Source organism: Homo sapiens, chromosome 8 (genome assembly GCF_000001405.40).
Source record: "Homo sapiens chromosome 8, GRCh38.p14 Primary Assembly".
Lineage (NCBI taxonomy): Eukaryota > Metazoa > Chordata > Mammalia > Primates > Hominidae > Homo > Homo sapiens.
The window spans coordinates 63672350-63693400 of NC_000008.11; the positions used below are offsets into that span (position 1 = coordinate 63672350).

General features: G+C 35.3%; 2 long non-coding RNA genes across 2 annotated transcripts in view, besides 1 other annotated feature; one reads left to right on the plus strand and one right to left on the minus strand.

The window, feature by feature from the left end:
- Positions 1 to 20592, plus strand: part of LOC124902063 (uncharacterized) — a 41294-nt gene extending 20702 nt beyond the window's left edge. The window contains exon 2 of the long non-coding RNA XR_007061177.1: positions 19382 to 20592. This is a non-coding gene — a long non-coding RNA (uncharacterized LOC124902063). The remainder of the gene's footprint in view (positions 1 to 19381) is intronic.
- Positions 14227 to 15426: an enhancer, noted in NCBI's record as "CDK7 strongly-dependent group 2 enhancer chr8:64599134-64600333 (GRCh37/hg19 assembly coordinates)". NCBI's record gives its function as "activates an origin of replication core promoter dependent on BRD2, BRD4, P300/CBP, MED14 and CDK7 cofactors, with strong dependence on CDK7, by STARR-seq in HCT116 cells {active_cell/tissue: HCT116}" and the evidence as "EXISTENCE:reporter gene assay evidence [ECO:0000049][PMID:35650434]".
- Positions 14691 to 19481, minus strand: LOC105375876 (uncharacterized). The gene is made up of 3 exons (XR_928987.2): positions 19400 to 19481; positions 17242 to 17354; positions 14691 to 14882 (listed from the first exon to the last, which is right to left on the minus strand). It is a non-coding gene; the product is annotated as an uncharacterized LOC105375876 (long non-coding RNA).
- Positions 20593 to 21051: the final 459 nt, after the last annotated feature.

The following is a 21051-nucleotide window of genomic DNA, read 5'->3' on the forward strand; positions in this document are numbered from 1 at the left end:
CCACATATTGCATTGAGTTGTTGTGTATTCTAAGTTTATTTACTCTAACCTAGTCTATCTTCTCCTACCCCCTGCTTTAATATGCCATTGAACTTGTTCAAGAAACAAGCTCAGCTGTTATATAAAATGTCCAATATTCTGGATTTGCTTATTTCTTCCACATAATGCCATATAACATCTTCTTTTATATTCTATATTTTCTATAAATTGGAAATTCACTCTTAAAAGCTTGATTTGATTCATGTTTAACTTTTTTGGGGCAAGAATATTTCATAGATAGATCCATATATTTTATATTGGATAACTTCAGAAGGTATGTAATGTGTGGTTGTTCCACTTTATAGATGTTAAAATTGATCAATGGTTTTAGGTGGTGAAAGACTGATCCTTCCATTGCTAAGTTTTCCATCGAGTTTTATTTCATGTTTTATCTATTGAGGACCACTATCTAAGTCAATTATGTGTTTAGGGGTTGAAATATGATAGTTTTAAAAATTTAATCTTTTCTTCCACATTTATTTGCTAGATTTCTTCTGTTGTGATAGTTATTTCCAATGATGTTCAATATTTGTGTTTGTATGATTTTAACTTTATCTTATTAAGTATAATTATAAATTAGTGCTTTCTTTCAAATGCATGAGTTTTCCAGTCAATAGATTTCAGTAATTAGACTTCATCTTCTTGGTAATATGTATCCTGTCTTCCTCCATGTTGGTTCTTGTGTCATTTGGACACAACTCCATTAGTGTGGGATAGTGTTCTTGTTTTCTGGAACAAGATGTCTCAGGAAAATCTAGATTTTATGCTTCAGGCATGTATCCAGCTACTTCTCTAAAGAACTTTGGTATTTATGGAGTACCGTCTTCATATAGGAGCTGTCATTGCTACTGAGTTACTGTTGCTTTTAGACCTCATCAGTGGACAGTACTAGAAAATGCATATGTTTAAAGAAAATAGTCACAATTTCATACTACTTTCAATTCAAAGTTACCATTATAGTTTTTTACTATTTTCTATGAGTTTATCTTTATACTTTGTTTTCACACACTAAAATTTTTAACTTAGAACATCAACATAATTGCATACTTGTTGTATTCTCCTATATCAAAATGGATAACATTATTAATTATATAATTCAAGTTATTGACATCCTTATTTGATTTGTTGAGTTTTGGAAGAGGTGTAATAAAATATTTAACTATTATTGTAGGTTTTTCTATTACTCTTTTATGTAATTTTGCTTTACTTTTATGTATTTCTAAGCTCTGCTGTAAGGTACATAAAGGTTTACAACTGTTATGTCTTTATAATCAGTGATACAATTTGGCGATATGAAATATTCATCTTAATCCTGTTTGATGCTTGTCGCTTCAAATTTTATCTGTCAGAAAATACTATGTTAGACTTGCCTTCCTTATTTAATACATCTTTATTTTCCAATTTTTGGTGTTATGTTCTTGGGTGTGCCTTTTGCAAATAGCTTATAATTAAAATTTGTGTGTGTCTTTGTATGTGCATGTGCACATGTGTTTGTATTTATATAGCATCATTGCATTTTCCCCTTATTCTAACATTCTCAGCCTCTTAAATAGAGACCCAGCTCTGCTATAAATTTATACTTACAAATATATAATTTTGGTTATACAGTATTTGGGATGAAGTTGAGGTGTACAAGTGTTTTTAGAATGCCATCATGATCTAAAGTATTATGGACTTTTTCTTCACAAGCTGAAGCTAAAGTGGTTTAAATAAGAAAATTAAACTACAAGAAAAAATAACATTTAAGAGTTCAGCTAACCTTTAAAATTGATGCTCACACCAATAATTAGATACATGGCAAGTCATATACATAGAAAAAAAATGTTTGTCATAAAATGAATATATTGCTGGAAATACCACTCAGCCTACAGAAGATGGAAAGAAACAAAAGTGATACTCAATGTCTCTTCAATGAATTATCAAGTGAAAAAATTTCCTTTAATTGTGCAGGGCAAAGAAAGTGGCAGAGAAAGTGGCAAAGATTTTTAGTGGCCAGAATTTTTCAGGGGTTCCTTTCCCTTTCCAGGAACCCCAGCAGTTAGCCTTTTCTCTAACATCTATTGTGCTCAATTAGCTGCTGACCAAATGATGCCAATAGCCTAGAGTATTTCTTAATCAATTTTAACAAGTATAAATTAGCAAATGAATTGCAAAAAATATATTCTCAATATAATCCCTTGAGGCCAAGCAGGATTTCTGCTCTTTGGGAAAAACAAACTCGGGAATATACAGTGCAGCGCTATAGCATGTGGAACAGCATTTAATGCTTTTGAAGTTTTAAGAGACACAAAGTTCATCCCATTGTCAAGGAATTTCCCAGTTGTGTGGTTTACCCAGAGGATCAGATGCTTTCTGAGCTCAGCATTGATCATCTTGGATTTTATTGGTCTCTGCAGTGTCATTACTATGGTTCATTATACTGTTTGCAACTGTCTTGGCCAACCTTGAAGATGGGTTCGAAAAGCCTCTTGTCCTGTGAACATTTCTCCAGTTTTGCCTATTCTGACTAAGTCAGCTAGGTTTCCTCCAATCAGGAACTCATCAGGTGGGAAAGGCATGAAACAAAATCAAGAATTGGGAGGGAATATAGATCAGCATCTCTTCTATGCTTGTTATCAGTGCCCATTCCTGAAGCCTCTCATGTAGCTACTTCTATCCTATTGCCAGGGAGCCTGGCTAGGTTCTACCAGCTTTTAAGTTTTAGTGGAAAAGTTAAAAACGTGCTTCTTAGATTTTTCCATCTATGTAACGCTGATAAACAGAACTCAATCTGGGAAGGGCTGGGTGTTTATGGGATGCAGTAAGTGGTCTCAGGTGGACAGCTCTGTGTGTGCATGTGTGTGCATGTATGAGTGTTCATGTGTGTGTGTACATGTGTGCACATGCATGTGTGAAGCATGCCACCTGGCACTGTTCACCTTTATTCTGGAAAATACGCAATAATTTATCTGTGGGTCGAGGAATATTCTTCCACTCTCAATTTGTAAACTTTTGTTGAAGTTCTACTGTGGGCATGAGGTTGGCCAATCAGAATATTATTTGGCTAGCCGCAGTGACTAATTCAGTGACACAACTGGATCCAGTGAGACTTAAAGCATTTTTTTTTACCCCGGGACTTGTAGGAAAAATGATTCTTGCTTTTTTCTCTGAATTTTGAAGCAGAGCTCTCTGGCGCCTATCTTTTGTTTATAATAATGAAGTCAATATGGAGGAGAGAAGATTGTAAAATGAGATTAAGAAAAACGTCCAGACAAGCTATACCTTAAAGCCAGTCCCGCCCACGGGCTTTTCATTTATATAAGCAAATTTGTTCGTTTTGTGTTTAAACCACGTTGGACACACATTGCCATTTGTAATGAACATACACAAAATCCTTATTGATTCACTAATGCAAAACCTGTGTCCTTGAAATTCTTTGAAGTTTTTGGTTTTAGTCTAACAATTCATACACATTTAGCATTCAATTCCACAATATAACTATATATTTTTAAATATAAAACATGTTTAAATTATCATTCAAATTACTTAACTGTCTGCCTCAAAATTTTCAAGTAAAATTTATTTTCCAGGAGGAGATGTCATATTTACTATATAGTTTCTCATTCCCTTGACATAATTCTGCATGTGCCAGGTGGTACATCTACTGCAATTTTAGAAACACAGACTTGAGGAGTTGTGGGTGCAAATATAATAGGGAACTTCTGAATACAGAAAGTTTTCAGGACTCAAAGACATGGAAATGTAGTGATAGCATAATAGGCTTTGTCACAAGAAGACCAATTTGGGACTTCGCAAATGGGCAGCATTCATCCCATCCACAGAGAAAGCTCCTGTGTGGAGGAATGCATAAATATAAAAATTCCATAAGGTAGTGTAGTGAGGTTTACTATCTGAATTTCAACAACTTTATTGAAATAGCTCTGTGTAAGCAGAGATATCCCATGTTATAAATTATGACATATGACACAGAAGGTAACCAAGAATAGAGCTAATGCCTCTGGGGAGTATGTTTCCTTTTCTTTTTTATTTCTCAGAGTCATTATTTCCCTACCCCACAATAACTTATAGGTTATGGACTACTGAGTTCATCTTTTTCTCACAAGTTTAGTATAAATATCTATTGTTCAATAGGCTCAGACTTTAGATGGTGATGAAAAAATGGTATAGATGCTTGACTCGTGCTCTGTGAAGACCCTACTTTACTGTGCATTGCCAAATGTCCACAGGCTGGAGGAAATATGATATGATCAAACCATCAAATCTTTCATCAAATTTCTTTTAAGTGAACTTTTTAAGCAGGTGCACACACTTATCATTTTTGGAAAGTGGAATAAAATTTCAACATCTGAATGATTTCGGAAACCCTGATAAAATGAGAAATATTCAGCCAAGTGTCTGGATTTCTTGTTCGCATATTAGCTACCACCTCAGTAATTGAAGGCATATGAATTTTGTCCTTACATCTTGATCCTTTGACTCATAAACCTGTAATGAACTGTAGACATTGTATAGCCTCTTCTCTGGCTGCCGGTCCAAATAATCTTAGATGGGGCAGTTCAGTGTCTCCACTTCTTACTCCATATTTTATTTTCATGAATTTTCTTTACATAAGAGGCTCTAGAATGCTATACAGCAGTCACAAAATACAGAAAATAGTTTAAGATCCCACCTCAACATTCTGCAGTAACAAAAGTTTAGCAAAAAAGGAGAGTATCACTTGATCTTCAGGTCTCATTCATCTGACCCAAAGGATATTGGCTCCAAAATTCACTGCTTCATTTTGAACTGCAGTATTATACTTGAATATATGATGCTTTTTTTCTTCATTGGCTGAGCCTACTTGGGTGCATTTATTTTTAATTTGTTTCAGGCAACTAAAGGAAATTAACACGACTTTGCACCTTAAAGATTAATGGGCAAGGAAGTTACCTTTCTAATGTTACAAAATATTTTTGGGGATCATTTCTTCCCCAGAACTCATCTGAACTTACCTCATTCCCTGCAAAATAGAAACTGTGTTAGCTGTAAGAGCTGGGAAAAAGCTGTCTATAGCTAGGAAAATAGCAATAATAACAATATTTTCAGAAATAGACATAATTAAAGACATTGAGCGCTGTCTGTAATGTTTTATTAACGTGAGAATCACAAGAGGGATTTCTTTTTGTCATTGCATACAATAATAGCAACAGAACAAAGGTATTCAAGAACTCAGAGCTCCTATATGTTGTTTTCTCTAATTGTACTAATTTGAGTAATTTTGATCCTTGGTAGGTTATAACTATTTGTGTGCTCCTTAACCCTGGCATCCACAAAAATGATTTAATATGCTTTATTATATCTTATACAATGAAATAATTCCAACATACTAGTTCATTAAGAATATATAAACAGAATGGAGTATTTATTATATATTAAGGAAAACTCTGGAATGCAAATACCAGTCATGGGCTGTAGTAATAAAAAAATATGTATTTTAAGGAAATGACAGTGCTCAATTATAGTCTACAAAATTCAGTTTGATCCTATCTACCTACTCAATTCTTCCACTGAAAAGCAACAAGTGCGTTAGAGAGCACAAACAGAGAGACAAAAAGTTATATTTACTGGGTGTCTACCATGTTATTAGGCTATTGATAATAGCGAATGAAAGAAAAGTGTACCTTTATCCAAATAATTGGAGTGATTCAAGAAACGCAAAACAAAGTGGAGAGACAACTTATTTTATGGCAATGCCTTGGATCTCTATTTTTAAAAATGGATGAAAGATCTAAAAATCTGAACCCTGACTGACGTAATGCTTGTATATGAGTTCTAGCTCCATGTTCAGGCCTGTCCCAGACAACCATGAAACAGGAAGCTTCATAATGGAGGAAGAACACAAGATCTAAACTTTCAGACACTCCTTGACTTGTTTCTCTTCTTGAAAATATGATATTCCCATTGCAATCTTTATTTCTTAACCACACATTCTCTTTTGTTTTTGATAAAATACGCATTTTAGCATTCGGTTGTAGGTCAAACAGTTCAAATGTGCTCAGGAAGTTCTCCCGCGCACCAACTCTCTTCTTACTCCCCAGAGGGTACATTTTTGTGTCTGTTGTTAGTTTTATTGGTTATATCCATAATTTTAAATAACATGGTTATTCTTCTCTTTCTTGATTTTAAAGTACTACAGTGTCCAGTGATGACCCACTATGAGATAAAGATTTCACTCATATAAACTATCTACATCGTAAGTAGGGTTGGGGGTAAATTGCATTTCTCATGCAGTGTACTTGATAGTTAGGTTATACGAATATCATTTATGGATTGGGAAGCATTCCCCCTTTTTCTATTTTCTGAAAGAGCAACATAACATTATGAAAGACAGTATCTACCTTAAAATGTGGTAGAATTAATTTATACAACTGTCTGTATTTTTATTGTGTGAGGCTTTTAAACATCTGTTTTGACTTCTTTAATAGTTACAGGACTTTTGAGGCTTTCTCATTCTTTCTAAGTCTTTTTTACATTATATACGTTTAAGTCTTTGTCCATTTCATCCAAGGTTCAAATTTGCTGGCAAAAGCATATCACAATTTTTTCTTATGGATTATTATCTTTGCAATTCCTGTCTTATTGGCACCAATTCAGTTCTAATATAGTTTATTCTTTTTTTTTTTTTTTTTTTTGGGATGGAGTCTCACTCTATCGCCCAGGCTGGAGTGCACTGGTGCAATCTCGGCTCACTCACTGCAACCTCCACCTCCCGAGTTCAAGTGATTCTTCTGCCTCAGCCTCCCGAGTAGCTGGGACTACTGGCACACACCACCACACCCGGCTAATTTTTGTATTTTTAATAGAGACAGGGTTTCACCATATTGAACAGGCTGGTCTCAAACTCCTGACCTCGTGATCTTCCCTCCTTGACCTCCCAAAGTGCTGGGATTACAGGCATGAGCCACCGTGCCCGGCCTACTTTATTCATTTATAAAAATCTTTTCTCCCCTTGAACAATCTAGCTAACATTTTTTTCTACTTTATTAGCATTTAAAATTTTTGTTTTGATTGATTTTTTCTAGGATTTTTTAAATATTCATAGATTAGCACCCTTAATTTTATTTGTACCTCTTTTTAATTTGTCTGAATTTATGTTGTTATACCTTATAACTTTTAAAATTGGATACCTAGCAATTTTTAGTTTTTTCTCTTTTCCAAAGTAAGAATTTTAAAACTCTAAATTTTCCTGTAAATACTGTTTTTACTATCTGGCACAACTTTTCATATTCTTATTATTACCTTTTAGTAATAAAATTTAATTATAATTTATTATAATTTATGTTTCCACCATTATTTCTTCTTTGACTCCTGAGTTATTTAATGAAGTGCCTGTTTGTCTTTTAATTTCCAAATATATAGTGTTTTAAAATTTATTGACTTAATAAAATTGTGGTCAGAATATTGATTAGTCTGATAATAATTCTGCAAATTTTTTTGAGTGTTGCTTTATAATCTTATTAATAATCAAGTATTGTAAATGCTTCAGATTTTCTTGAGAAAATATGTATGTATTCTCTAGTTGTTATATACAGTTAGATCAAACTTGTTTATTATGTTGACATCTCCCACTACTCTAGACAAACCAGGGTGATTAGACCCCTTAGATAAAAGGAAAAACAGCAGTTACATGAAGAAATGAGGTGGCTTATAGGCAATAACCACTCAAGTGGTATTTTTTTAAAAACATGGAATAAAAGGGCTTATAGTATTTTATTTAAAAAATAAAATAGCCTTCAGGTTGAGTCCTCGGTTTTCAAATTAGAATACAAATATTTATAATATAAATGTAAGTTATAATGTAAGACAGGCTATGACAAAATAATAATAGCTTTCTACTATTTACCATACTACATTAAACTTAGAAATTTCCAGGAATTATTTTATTCAATTCCCTCAACAAATAAATGAGGTTAGAAAGTACTCTGTCTCTTTTACAGATGAGATTTAACAACTTATACCACGTAAACTATCTGGTAAGTGATAAATGATTAGAATAGTATCTGATCAAATCTCTGTGCTTTACTCTAAATCATTACACTCTTCTGCCAAGTACTTACTGGGGTTTTTGCATGACACAAAAGAAAAGTGTGATTTGTTCTTGCCCTTGATGACACTGTACTCCTATTAGGGTGACAAGTCTCATGTACTCAAAATAACTAGAAGATGGTACTAGTTAGTGAAATAATAAAATTCTAACATGAAATTTGTATGTCGAGTATATGCTACAGTATGCATGGTATTATGAGACTGTCAGGGAGGAGAGGTCATTGTTGCTTAAGTTTTTAGAAAAAGTTTCAAGAAAGAGGTGGGATTTTAAATGGAAATATAAATACTGATAGGATTCAGATAGAGGAAATATGTTCAACTGCACTGTCTAACTGGAGGAAGAAGCATTGGTTTATATGATATATTCTATATAATGTTAGTAGGTAGAGTTACTAAAACATGATGAGATTTGCATAAATAGAGAAAAGAAGAAAGGGCCATCTAAGCTAAAGCTGCAGTGGATAGGAATAGATGCAGTGTCTGTGGCAGAGAAAGAGTGGAGGGGGTATAGGGAGGGATGTTCGAATGGGTTAGGTGGCATCAATGCTATAGGATTGGACTTGTTTCAGAGGAAAATTGAGAACCATTATAATGTTTCTTTTTTCATAGGGGAATGATACAAAAACTAATTGCCCTCATTTCTAAATTCTGATGGATAGGAAATAATATCAGGAGAAAAAAAACATTTTCTACTATCTCACTCTGTCTAATGCATTTCATTATTACCTAACTCTCAAGAATTGGAAGATTTGGTTTTGGTGTGATTTAAATTTATTTTATTAGAATGTAAGTCCATTTCTTCTCTTGTCTTTTCTCCACGAAAATAGGCAATAAATTGTGATATTTTTCAATGTAGTCATAGTTTGACTTTTAATCTGTTCTTAGTTTCTGAATGGTCTTATTGGAAACTAGTTTTATTTATCATTTTAATAGAAATTTTAGCTCCCTTGTCACCTGAACTCATCTTTCCTTTTGGGATGAGGGGTGACACACATACTACATGTCAATTTAATTAAGAAATCTGTCAAATTGATCCAATTTCTGGTAAATTGATTTATTGTACTGAATTGTATACATTTTTAAAAGCCAGTTACTCTAGTGGCACGCAAAATCAGTCCAAATTTTGGTCTCAGAACTGTTGAGTTCAGCAAAGCCTTCTGAAAGCTGAGAGGCCTAATCATGAATTTGCCTTCAACTGTTGAACTTGTGAAGATTCATTCCAAATAAAACTATGTGACATTGTGCTGAGAGTTACATGACAATTGAAATGAAAAAATAATATTGATCTTAAGATTCCTAGTGTTGTCCAGAGTTAATTATAGGATTCTGATTGGTCAGCATTAAACTACTCCAAAATTAACAAAGAAATAGTGCATTTCTCCACCTCCTGACTTCTTAACATCGAGCTGCACCTCAAGAACACAGAGTTTATATATAGATGGGTTTACATTCAGCAAAAATGTTTGCATGTCAGGAATTGATAAGTACATGAAGTGTTCATTATTTCTCAACTGACAAAGATACTGAAGGATTTTTGTCTTCCTAAATTTTGTTGGATTTAGAAGAAAATTAAATCAATGTACACTTAAGATATCATATAGCACTTTTATATATGCTGCTTTTGAATTTGAGAAATTTTCTAAACTTTTTTATTGTTTTCTTCAAATTGACAATGAGACAAACTATCCAGGTTTTGCACCTGATGTCATCTCCAGGGGCTAGGCTGAAATAAACTTGGAAAGCTTTCCCACAGTGCTTCAATAGCAAGGGTTGGTCACTAATATATTTTTTTCTTCAAATGTCAATATTGAAATTTACCTGACATCAAAACTCATATGGCTGGGTATTTTAGGTTGTTTATCCAGAATCTGACATACTTTAACCTACATGGTTCTGGTGATAATTGCTGAATTTCCGAATTAATAGGAAAACTGGCACAATACTAGATAATATCAGAGTTTGTTATTTGTGAAGTGCCAATTTTATGTAATTAGGGAAAATTGCTAATTATCACTGGAACTATTCATTAATATTTGGAGGAAGATAAAAATTAATAGAAATGCATTTTTAGTGGTTAAAATTTTGAAAGACCACCTGCTATCATCACTTTGATGAATCCAGCTCTTTGTATCTTATCAAACAGTTGGGCAGTTGTGAGTAAAATGAAACTACGATTATTTTCCCAAATGTTGTGATGGAATGTTTAAAGTGAAAGACTTAACGTCACCTTACTAGTACTTCCAGTCTTCAGATGAAGTTGGGAAAGCCCCATATTTGATCATTTAATATCAATACCTTTTTAAGAGGTCAAAGTGGCCTTGGTTTGATTAAATGAAGGGGGCAGAGCTCTACATTTATTTTATATTATAAAAAGAAGCTTTGTCTGCAGCAATACTAATTATCACCATTATATCACATAATTTTAGGAATATGATAAATTTATAGGCAATGGCATTGAAAAATGAGCTATCATTTTGAAAGTTTATAGAATGTTTACCCCAGACAGCCTTTTAAGCCTGACTTCTAAGCACGTTCTTTGACTCAGAATTAAACAGTACAAATGTAATGTTTGAAAGCTCTTAAACTAATAAATTTTCCCTTATCAAGAAGAGTTTAAAATTACATTCATTAAAATATAGAAAATATCCAAAAGATGATAATTGCTTTAAGCTAATGGGTGTTAAAATCATTATAAGATAGTTAATTATTAATTTATTCAACAAATAGTCCCTGAGCCTTTACCCTAAGAAAGGTACTTGGGCAGCTGTAGGAGACTGCTGGGTCACTGGACTAGATGAATTGAAAGGGAAGAAAACAAAGTTGGCAAAGAAAGCTGGTGATCCAGGGTCAGGAGGAAGCTGAAACGAGCTTGTCTGCAGGGGATAGACCAAGAAGACTGAGTGATTAAAGCGGTGCCAGTGAACTTAGGGTCAGGAAGAGAGTGAACAGAGAGTCAGGGAACCAGTGAGGGTGATAAACTGAGAAATTGGAAAAGATGGCCTTGCCTGAATGGAGCTGTGGCCACGATTCAGTTCAGTTCAGCACAGTATTGACTGAGTTCCTACTGGATGTTCAATGTATTATAGTCCACCCATAACTTTGAAAAACTAAGAAAAATAGGTAAATGGACATGAAAATTTACCTGTATTGTCAAATATTCTTCCTTCTTTATAGCAGATAGTAATACTGATGATTAAATGTAATTTCTACTGGGGAGTAGGTGGTGTTTTGCAACTTAGGTCTTCCAAAGCACACATAGCCTTTCAGAATGAGAAGGTTCTTAGATGTAATCTAACTTAACTTGCTACTCCATGCTGAAATCCCTGAGGACATTTACTCCAGGGAGATGATCTTTTGAAGATTATGTTGTATGATCAGAAGAAAGTGAGGTTTGCAGTTACTCTTTTATTTCAGCCTGGAAACAGTGCTCTAGAGAAATATTCTCAGTACCTCCCTTATCAGTACTGTTTCCAGTACTGTTATTCTAGCTTTGCCCCATTGGAATCAAGTTCTAGCTTGACAATATTTTGTCCAAAACCTGGCACTCAGAGATTAATGCAATTTCAAGATGTGCCCTGATCAGGAAATGACCAGGGAATGTTGCCGAGGCTTTGAGAATGAATGTCTGGCTTGAAATAGATCCCATTTGGCCACTGTATCAATCAGAGTCCTTAGCTGTAAGTAGCAGAAACTCACTGGGACTGATACATGGAGAAAAAAAAGTTGTTAAAAAGATACTGGGTAGGTTACAGCCTCTCCTCCAGGGCCAGAGAACTAGGCTCAGAGCTTACTTGATCAGGAAAGGAGCCCCAAATGGAGTTTCAAGAGGGATTCTGGTGGAGCGACCACCGCCACTGGACACTGGGTCCCATAGCTTTACTTCCTACACCACAGAACTTGGAACTTGGAACTTGTAGCTTTGCCTAGAGTCATAGCTGCTGCTGCCTGGACGCTGCAGAGCAGCTATCCAATTTTTCCTATTCAAGATCTGGGTATGGCTAGGACTCATGCCAATGCTGTGACTGCGAGAATGGCACACTGTGCCAAATAAGGGGAGGATTCTCCAAACACAGGCAGGGATTTCAGAACCTGGGAAGCCGACAAGATTAGCAAAATGACCCTCAGCATGTCTTGACCACCTTAATTCATACTTTCTTACTCTTAGACTCATGCAAAGACCAAAAATTCTCAATAAATGTGTTGCTTTTCTAGATGTCCTGGGATAGGTAGGGAAATAAATGTTTAAATTTCTTAATAATATTTTTATTGCAAGTTTATAGAAAGACTGCATGTAGGAGTAAGACTATCAAGGATGTTATTTTTTAAAGTTATACAAGATGAATAAGTCCTGGAGATCTACAGCATAGTGCCTGTACTTAACAATACTGGATAGTATACTGAAAAATTTTCTAAGAGGGTAGATCTTATGTTAAGTACTGTTATCATAAAAATAATTATAATAAAGGAAGTTTTGGAGATGATAGGTTTATGGCATAGATAGTAGTGATAGTTTCATGGGTATATACTCATCTCCAAAATCCCTGAGTTGTATAGGTTAAATATGAACAGCTTTTTGTATGTCAATCATACCTCAATAAAATGGTTTTCAAGAAGTACATAAGTGATAATACAATACAATGTGAAAGATTTACACTGTTTAGCCTATGTGGATAACCAACGATCCTCTTTTGTTCAAGTGCTTGGAAATCATTGGCATTAATAGAAGAGTACTTGGAATTGTCATGGTTTGTGCAGCGTTTCATGGCAGAACTTCATTTATTTGAAAGTTCAGAGTTCAGAACCTCTTCCTCTCCACCCCCTACTGTGCATTATTAGATTGGATCATGATATGAAGTATGGAATGTGCTTAATCATACAGTTTCTTTACACCCCATCACAGTGTCTAATGATGGACCTGGATAATAATCGTAGCACAAAATTCATCGAGTGCTGTCTGTGCTGCTAAACAGCATTCTGAATGCATTATGTGAGTTATTCATGCAATCTTTACCAAGTCCTAGGAGGAAGGCACTGTTACTATCCCATTTTGCAGATGAGGACATGAAAGCGGAGAGATTCAGTTTATCTGTCCAGGATTCTACTTATTCTTCGTGGCCAGAGGCAGGGTGGGAACCCAGGCAGTCTGACCCCAAATCCTACAGTCAGACCCAGTTAGTCTGGCTGCTGGCTGGAAAATTAGAGACAGTGATTATATCGTGTTTTTCCTTGGTGGGTCAGAAGTAGAATTCCTGCTGTAAAGGTGCTTTTGCTCTGGTGGTTGGTACTTCTCAGTTGAAATGAGAAGCCATTTTACTGCCACCGGTACAGAAAAATATGTCGACCTTTTTTTCTTTCAGTCCAATCTCAACTGCAGGGAGTGATGTGACTACCCAGTGTGAAAAATATTCCAAGCATCTCAGCTGATAAATTCTAATGGAGCTCTGATGCCTTTTGTGACTTTTTTCAGATTCGTTTAGTGCACCAAGCATAAACTGCTGAAATCTTTTACATACAACCATTCTATTGCCTATTAATTAGAACTGTCTTTTAATTGCACTGGTGCTCCAGAATTAAGTCAATATAGTTACAGGGATAGAATCCCCTGGGGGGAAAAATTCTTTATAGGAAGCTAGCGATGTTAAAAACAACAGAAATAGCAAACAATAAAACTCCCAATAACATCTACAAAACACCCCCACAGAATCTTCATAAATCATTTAAGGGTAAAACTCCCTTTCCTGGCTGCAGAGTATGATACACTTGGTGCTTAGCTCCTTCCACGGCCCCACTGTGAGTGGTGATGCTATTGAAGGTTTCATTCTGTGTCTTCATGTCCCTCTTTTTAAAACCTTATTCCTTCTTCTCCCCTAGATGAGGTAGCTGGTATCCTGTTTTCAGATTCTCTCCTTAGTCAAAACAGGAAATGATCACACCTCAGTCTTTTCCATTTGATGGATTTGTTCTATTTTTTATTTCCACTAAGGGACCATTGTCTTTTCCAAGCCTTTGCGTTTTAGGTCATCTTAATTCTCAGTATCTGACGGAATGTCAGCTATTGATAAATGTTGGGGAAATTTGGAGTAAGGGAGGAAGAACTAAAATCATTCAAATGCAGGACCTGAAGGGAAACTTAACATTTTTGGGTGACATCGAAGTTGAGCTGGGGCAGAAGAAAGCTTCATGGTCCTTCTCCCAGATCCTCCAGTCCTCTCCCCATGACTCAGACCTGGGCTGCTGGGGGATCCTGGCCTCAGTTCCCCTCCCTCACTGGCCCTCCACAGCGCCCACCCTTCTTTCTTTGCTAGAGTCCCTCCCCCTTCCCACACTTCCAACCTCAGTCCTACCTCTACTTCCTTCTCTCTCACCAAATATGCCCAGAAGTACGTATGCTAATTGTTATCTGAAGCTATTTTGGTTAATGTCATGACACATATTCATTAATGGATGTATGACTATGTCGAATGCTGCTTTGAATAATGCTGCCTTGAGAAATAACTCTACAAACATCGTTATATCACAGTCTATGGCCTATATTTCAAAAAGTATTAGCTCCTTACTCTCTGGAGTTCTGAGTCAGGCTTTTTATAGTTCACATAACCTAGATTTGTGAGTCACTATGTACAATAAATAGCATTCCCACGGTGACCACAAGTCTTGGAATCAGTTCCAGGTGTCGTCGTGGCCGTTGACACCGCTGCCTTCTGACGGTAAATGTATTGTAGAATTCATGTTGTTCTCAGGCTTCAGTTTCCTCATCTCTAAAATGAGAGGATTGGATAAGTTAGTAGTTTCTAATTTTTACTTTTAATCAGTGGCATCTCCCATTTATTTTTCATTTGAAATAAAACTTTTGAATTTTATCTTCTACCTAAATAACATATTTTGTTTTATGTTTCAAGATGAAGCTCACACTGAGTTGGAAAAAAGGAAAAAGCAAAGGATCAAAGCTGGGGGAAAATACTGGACCATGTGCTTCACCTCATGGTGCCAAATAAAGAGAAAATGGGGAGAAGATAGGGACAGATAAAGATCTATTTGCTCGGATTGTGCTCTCATCCTTGGCAACATGTTGACAATGCCCTGGAAATAACTTGTTTTTCTTGCAACATTTCTCCAGTCTGATTGGTCAGCCTCCGGAAGATGTGGCATTTTGTAACTACTAGTTTTCTCGTATGGGTTTAGAAGAAATTAAAAATGAAGCCAATACCCAAGGAAGAAATGAAAGCTGGCCATTGGAGGCAGATCATTCCAGCAGAGTGAGGGCAGCCACTGGGATAATGCGTGGTCCAGGATTACACAGGCTGACTTTGCCAGGCCCTTGTTTCTCTGACTCTATGTTAGTCAGCAAAACACAATCCGTATTCATTGGCTGCATTTTCTTGGTTCTGTTTTGTTTAGTCTGGCCTCCTGGCCTGTTCTTTACCCATGTCGTAGCTACAAGGTTTTGAGGATTACTTTGCTGTGCATGCCTTCTTTCCTGTCACCTCCACTCCCATTCAGTCTCATTTGTTTACCTGTTTCTTTCTTTCTTCTTCTAGCTCTTAAGAAACCTGTCAAATGTCAACCCCTGGAGTCCCAAGTGGCAGCTTCCTCAATTCACTGACTGACTAATTTTACTCATTACTTTGGAGATAGGGCTAAGATTTCTTTAAAACAAACAAACAAACAAACAAACAAACATCAAACTGCCTGTTTATGTCCCTAAGCCTCAAATAATTAAAAAGCATATTGTTTGAGAAAAGATCGCTTCTATCGAGCAATACACAAGCAAGAAAATCTGATTTTCCCAAGTGAAATTTCTGACAAACCACGGATTCTTTCTAAAGAAGCAGAACACCCCTCTCTGGTGACCAGGCTACCAAGTTCCTACATTGACATCAAAGAAGAGCCTTTCTGCATAAATAGACTGTGTGTTAATAAAATAATATTTATGATTCAGTTTTTTTTTTCTTTTCAATATCAAGCTGTATCCTGCAGGAATGAAAATAAAAGAAGTTGATGTCTACAATATAACTATTAAGGGGAAATTTGCTCCACTGTTATTTGGATGTAATTGGTACTGAGCACCACAATGCACTTGTAATTGGGTCTGTACTTGTTCACTTCAAGGGTTCCAAGCTCTTTCTACTTGAACCCATTTTTTTGATACCGTTCAGCTCAGCAGTGCCAGCTAACTCTTGTTATGCAGTTGAAAAACTGGCCATTAAAAATAGGATACGGTGTGATTTTGTTTTGCAGCACTGCATGGAAAATCAGTTGCTGTTCATAACAGCTCTGTGGTTGGTTGATTTAAAGCAGGGGGGTGACTTGGAATTGACAAGCAGACAGTTTGTGAAAAGGGATATTGTATCTTTAAGGCTTTCTGACTGATTGTGTTTAACTGCGCCACACAGCAGGCAGTAATTAGGCTGTAGCTTCACCAAGAGACTTAAAGCACTGGCTCTGGTTCTCAGTTCTCCAGATTTTTTTTTTGAGCACAAACATTTTTTTTAATTTGGATTTGAATACATGATAATTTTTTAAAATTATCATGAGTGAGTGAGTGAGTGTGTGAGTGAGCACATTAAAACCCAACCCAGGGGCTTCCTGTGCAGGCCACCTCAGGGACCACCCTGTGCTGATGGCTCTTGGGCTCTAGGGAGACCAGGCAGCCGCATTGGGAAGTAGTAAGAACCGTGATAGGAGAACATGATGCCACTGCTGGAGAAGGTCAAGGTGCTCTTGAAATGAAAGGACATCAGCTCTCATAACACGACACAGTGTCTTCTGGCCCAGTTCACAATGTTAATGAGACTCTGGTTGAAGCATGCTACTAAGATTAATAGACAAAATGCCTAATAATTTTTATTTAGGGGAAAGAGGAACTTTCTTTACCTAAGGCTATTAAGTAGAAAAGGGTGCATTTTAGAAGTAAATTGAACAAACCATTAGCTTAAGTAGTATTTTCCATCTACCACCCTGCCTTCCTTTCTCCATACCCCCTCCCATTAAAATACCTCATTGCTGTTTTGGAAATTGGTGGACATCATCAATTTGTTATTATTTGTTAAAGATGGAGTTTTAAGCTTTCTATGCATTTGTTATCACAGGGGTGCAGTAGACAGATTTTACACTGACCTTATTAAAAATGAACGTTCAATTACTGTTGGGTTGATCACAGTGACTGTCTTCATTATCAATCAGGCAACAGTGGCTGAGTCCCAACTGTGTGCATGACACTAGGTTGGATGCTGTGGAGATAAACATTCTTCTGGGAACATAGTTGTGATATTTTCCAGACCTATGTATAAAGTTTCCTTCCTCTTGTTTTTTATATAGGTGAGTTATTCCAATTAGATTTGACTACTACTTAATTCTTAAATTTCTGGGTTGTTATTTTTTCTTATTACATGAATTTTTTTACCTTTCTTACTTTATTATTGGTGTACATAAGTATCTTTGCTTATTCATTCTCATATTTCTGTCCATTATAGATATGTATGGACTATAGATGATTGTGGTTTTAAATGATAATTCCCCATATTTGGGGATCACATTAGAGTTTTTGAAGTTTTACCTCCCAGTATGTCATCTACGTCTTCCTACAACATCCTAAGGGTGACTGGGGGGGTGATATCATTATCTTTTTAAAGGCTCAAGACAGTGAAAGGGACTTGGCTTAGGAATCAGGTTCGCTGACTCTTTGTTCTTGTCATAGTAATAAGATCGTATATTCAGCCCCCAAATGAACAATTTTCTAATTTAAGAGTAATGAAAACATTTTAGTATAGCTTCTAATTTAAGAGTAATGAAAACATTTTAGTATAGCTTCACCACTTTAAAACATAGATTAAAAATCAAGCATAAGCTATCATAAGGAGATTCTGATTTTTAAAAGTTGCTTCTACTAATTTGGAACTGATGTTTGTCCTTTCTCTGTAGAGTTAAAAACTTTTGGAAGCTCTCTATTCTCTTGGTTTTGATGTTTTGGGGCTGCCTTGAAGATAAATTACTTTAATCTGTAGGCTAAGTTGCATTGATATATTTATCTTTCTCAACATGCTTTGTCCTAAGGTCAGTACTTTGAAAGATTTGATCTAAATAAATTATAAATGTGTATCAAAATCTATTTGCTATTAGAGTAAACACATTAGAAATATGTCCCACTATTGCTTTGAATGTGACAAAGATGAATTCCATTCTATAGTTCAAATTTCAAATGTAAGTGTGTACTTTTATATATGTCTATGTCTAAATGTCGAGGTCAATAATTCTATAAATTCCTAAGGTTGGTTTATTCTGTAGTGCTGATAAATGTATCTTGGAATTAAGATGTACAGAAGATCAAAGATGAAATTGCAATTTTTTTCTAAAGTGACAATGAGCCTAATTCACTGTCAGTTAAAGCCAGGTGTTTCTCCCCCTAGTATTAAGTTCTTCAAAACAGTGGCTGCATAGGACACCATTCACAGAGGCTTAGCACTGGGGAGAAAATGATTACATTAAATCGAATGATATGAATAATTCATGACATCACATTTTGTAATCCTGGTGCTAAGCATAAAACCAGTGGTTTATTTTTTAGCAAAATGTTTTTGTATCATTCTAGATAGTGCATAATGCAAAACAATAACTGCATACATAATGCAAGAAGGATGGTGGTGAATAGGGTCCTTAATAGTGCTTGCAGCATCATCTGGGGTGTGATCACAATAAACATGTTTGGAGCCAATGCCCATGGGTGCCCAACGTCTGCTGGAATCTTCTGAGTCCAATAGAATGGCTGCCTTTTAATTTGTTTTTGAATATTACACCTGACCTTTAGCATGGATCTGAAAGTCAGTCCTTGTATATTGCTAATACTACAAATCCTTTTGTCCCCCCTTCTTTCAGTTTACTTGGAGGGCAATTCTATTGGGGGTAAACTGCTGATTTTTTAAATGGCATTTGATTTTCCAATACAGAGTTGGAAATACTAGAAAAATCCATAGAATTTGAACTTTTATTTTTCTATAAAGAACTTAAATGTTCTGGGGTAAAATGTCAGTTACTTAACAATTCATCCAAGTACTTATTAGGAATGTCATTTATATCTCTAAGACTAAATAAATTATGCCTTGTATTTGAATCTTCTCCTTATTTTCTAGAGAAAGCATCTTTTCTTTATAATTATCAAAGGAGGTCTAGGATGTCTCTGCAACCTTCATAAAACAGTTTCCAGGTCATGTACACTGTAGCAATACTTTAACACTAGTCTGATTATTCTGCTGCATTTCAGGCTGAAATAATCGTGTACCTGGACTATCTGCGGCTGCCTTTTCCAGCACCTTCCTGTGGACTGCTCCAGGGCACTCTCTAGAAGTCAGAATGGACTCCTGCTGATTCTCTCGCATATTTGTCTTGAATAAAAGAATGGTGTATGCCAGTGGATTTCAAAGCTTCTCACAAAACATCTCCACATCTGAAGTCTCAAGAGTTTATGTCAAGCATTTGTATTACTTACAACTAATTAAATATACCATTCCTGTTTTACAACATGAACACATTTGCTGATAATGTTGTAACTTGTATTATTATTATTTGTTTGAAACAATACATTAATAATTAATGACTGGTCAGTAATATAATACTAATATCTTGACCTATTTAGAATAGACATTAATTATCACATGTATAGAAAATAGTGTGATTTTAAATTTTTTTTCACAAAAAATAATTTGGAAGCATGTTAAAGTGCCTTATTTCCATATTATTTATTTACGTGATTTGGAGAATATTGTTTAAAGTTTTATTTTACAAGACTAAGCAGACTGTCAAAAAAGGTAGATTATGAATACTAAAGAAAAGGCAAGAGAGTTGGCATTTAGAAGTTAATTGTAGTGATTTGTTGAGGTTATCTAAGGGAAAATACCTGATGACCCCATTATTGGATTTGAATATAAAAATGCTGGATGCATTATATGTGGCAGCCTGAGATCTATTCTTCTTATCAGAGAGATATAAAATTACCGAGATTTAACTGAAGGCAGCTGTCAAACTCTGTAAAAGAACTGATATTCTTCAGAGGAGTGCAAATTCTATGTCAAAGACACAAAACAGATTCTTATTGCTTAATAATCTCCCACAGTTCAATAGTGACAGAAATTGGTTTCCTTTTTGCCCCCTACCCCTACTGTCTTATTTCTACAATTTTCTCTACAGTTACCAGTTTTGGGATGACTGATTCTGGTGTTTACTATATGATCACTTGATCAATGGAGACCTGCCCATCCTGCTTCTGACTATCGTGATGTCATAGTAGAGCTGCTTTAGATGAATCCGAAGTACTCACTCCTTTCTCCAATTTCTTCTTATCTGGTTTAAGAAAACAGTAACTTATTTTTGGCAGAGTCTATCAAAAATGAGAGGAATTGTCTATAGTATAATTTTAGTTTGAGTACAGAGAATAATAAAAATTATTGCTAAAATAAAATCTGATTTATCTAAGTATCAACTCTATTTAACTTTTTCTTTAATAACGTAACTATTTTATGCTGCATAAAGCAGAATACAGGTTCCAGTGCTCGTTTGGCCACTTAGAACCTCATCTTCTTTATCTATAAAATGGAAATACAAAAACTGTGTTGGGTTTAATAGGGAAAATAAAATAATGTACAGGAGAATATCATGTAATAATGTTTTATAGAAAAAATAATTATTTTATCTGTTAGAAGATTTTTTTCTTGTCAGTTAATGCATTACTAATGATTTACTTTTAAAAAATTAAATATGCTAAAAAAGTAAATAAGTCAAAGCCATGATGAGGTTCACCTATATTTTGAAACACTCTTTTAAGCATGCCAAATTAGTGACATGGGCTTTCATGTGTATCTTGCCTTCACACACTTAAATGCATAACCTTGAAAGTAATAAAATTTGCTGAGTTGGCTATTTCCCTGCTTCCTCAGA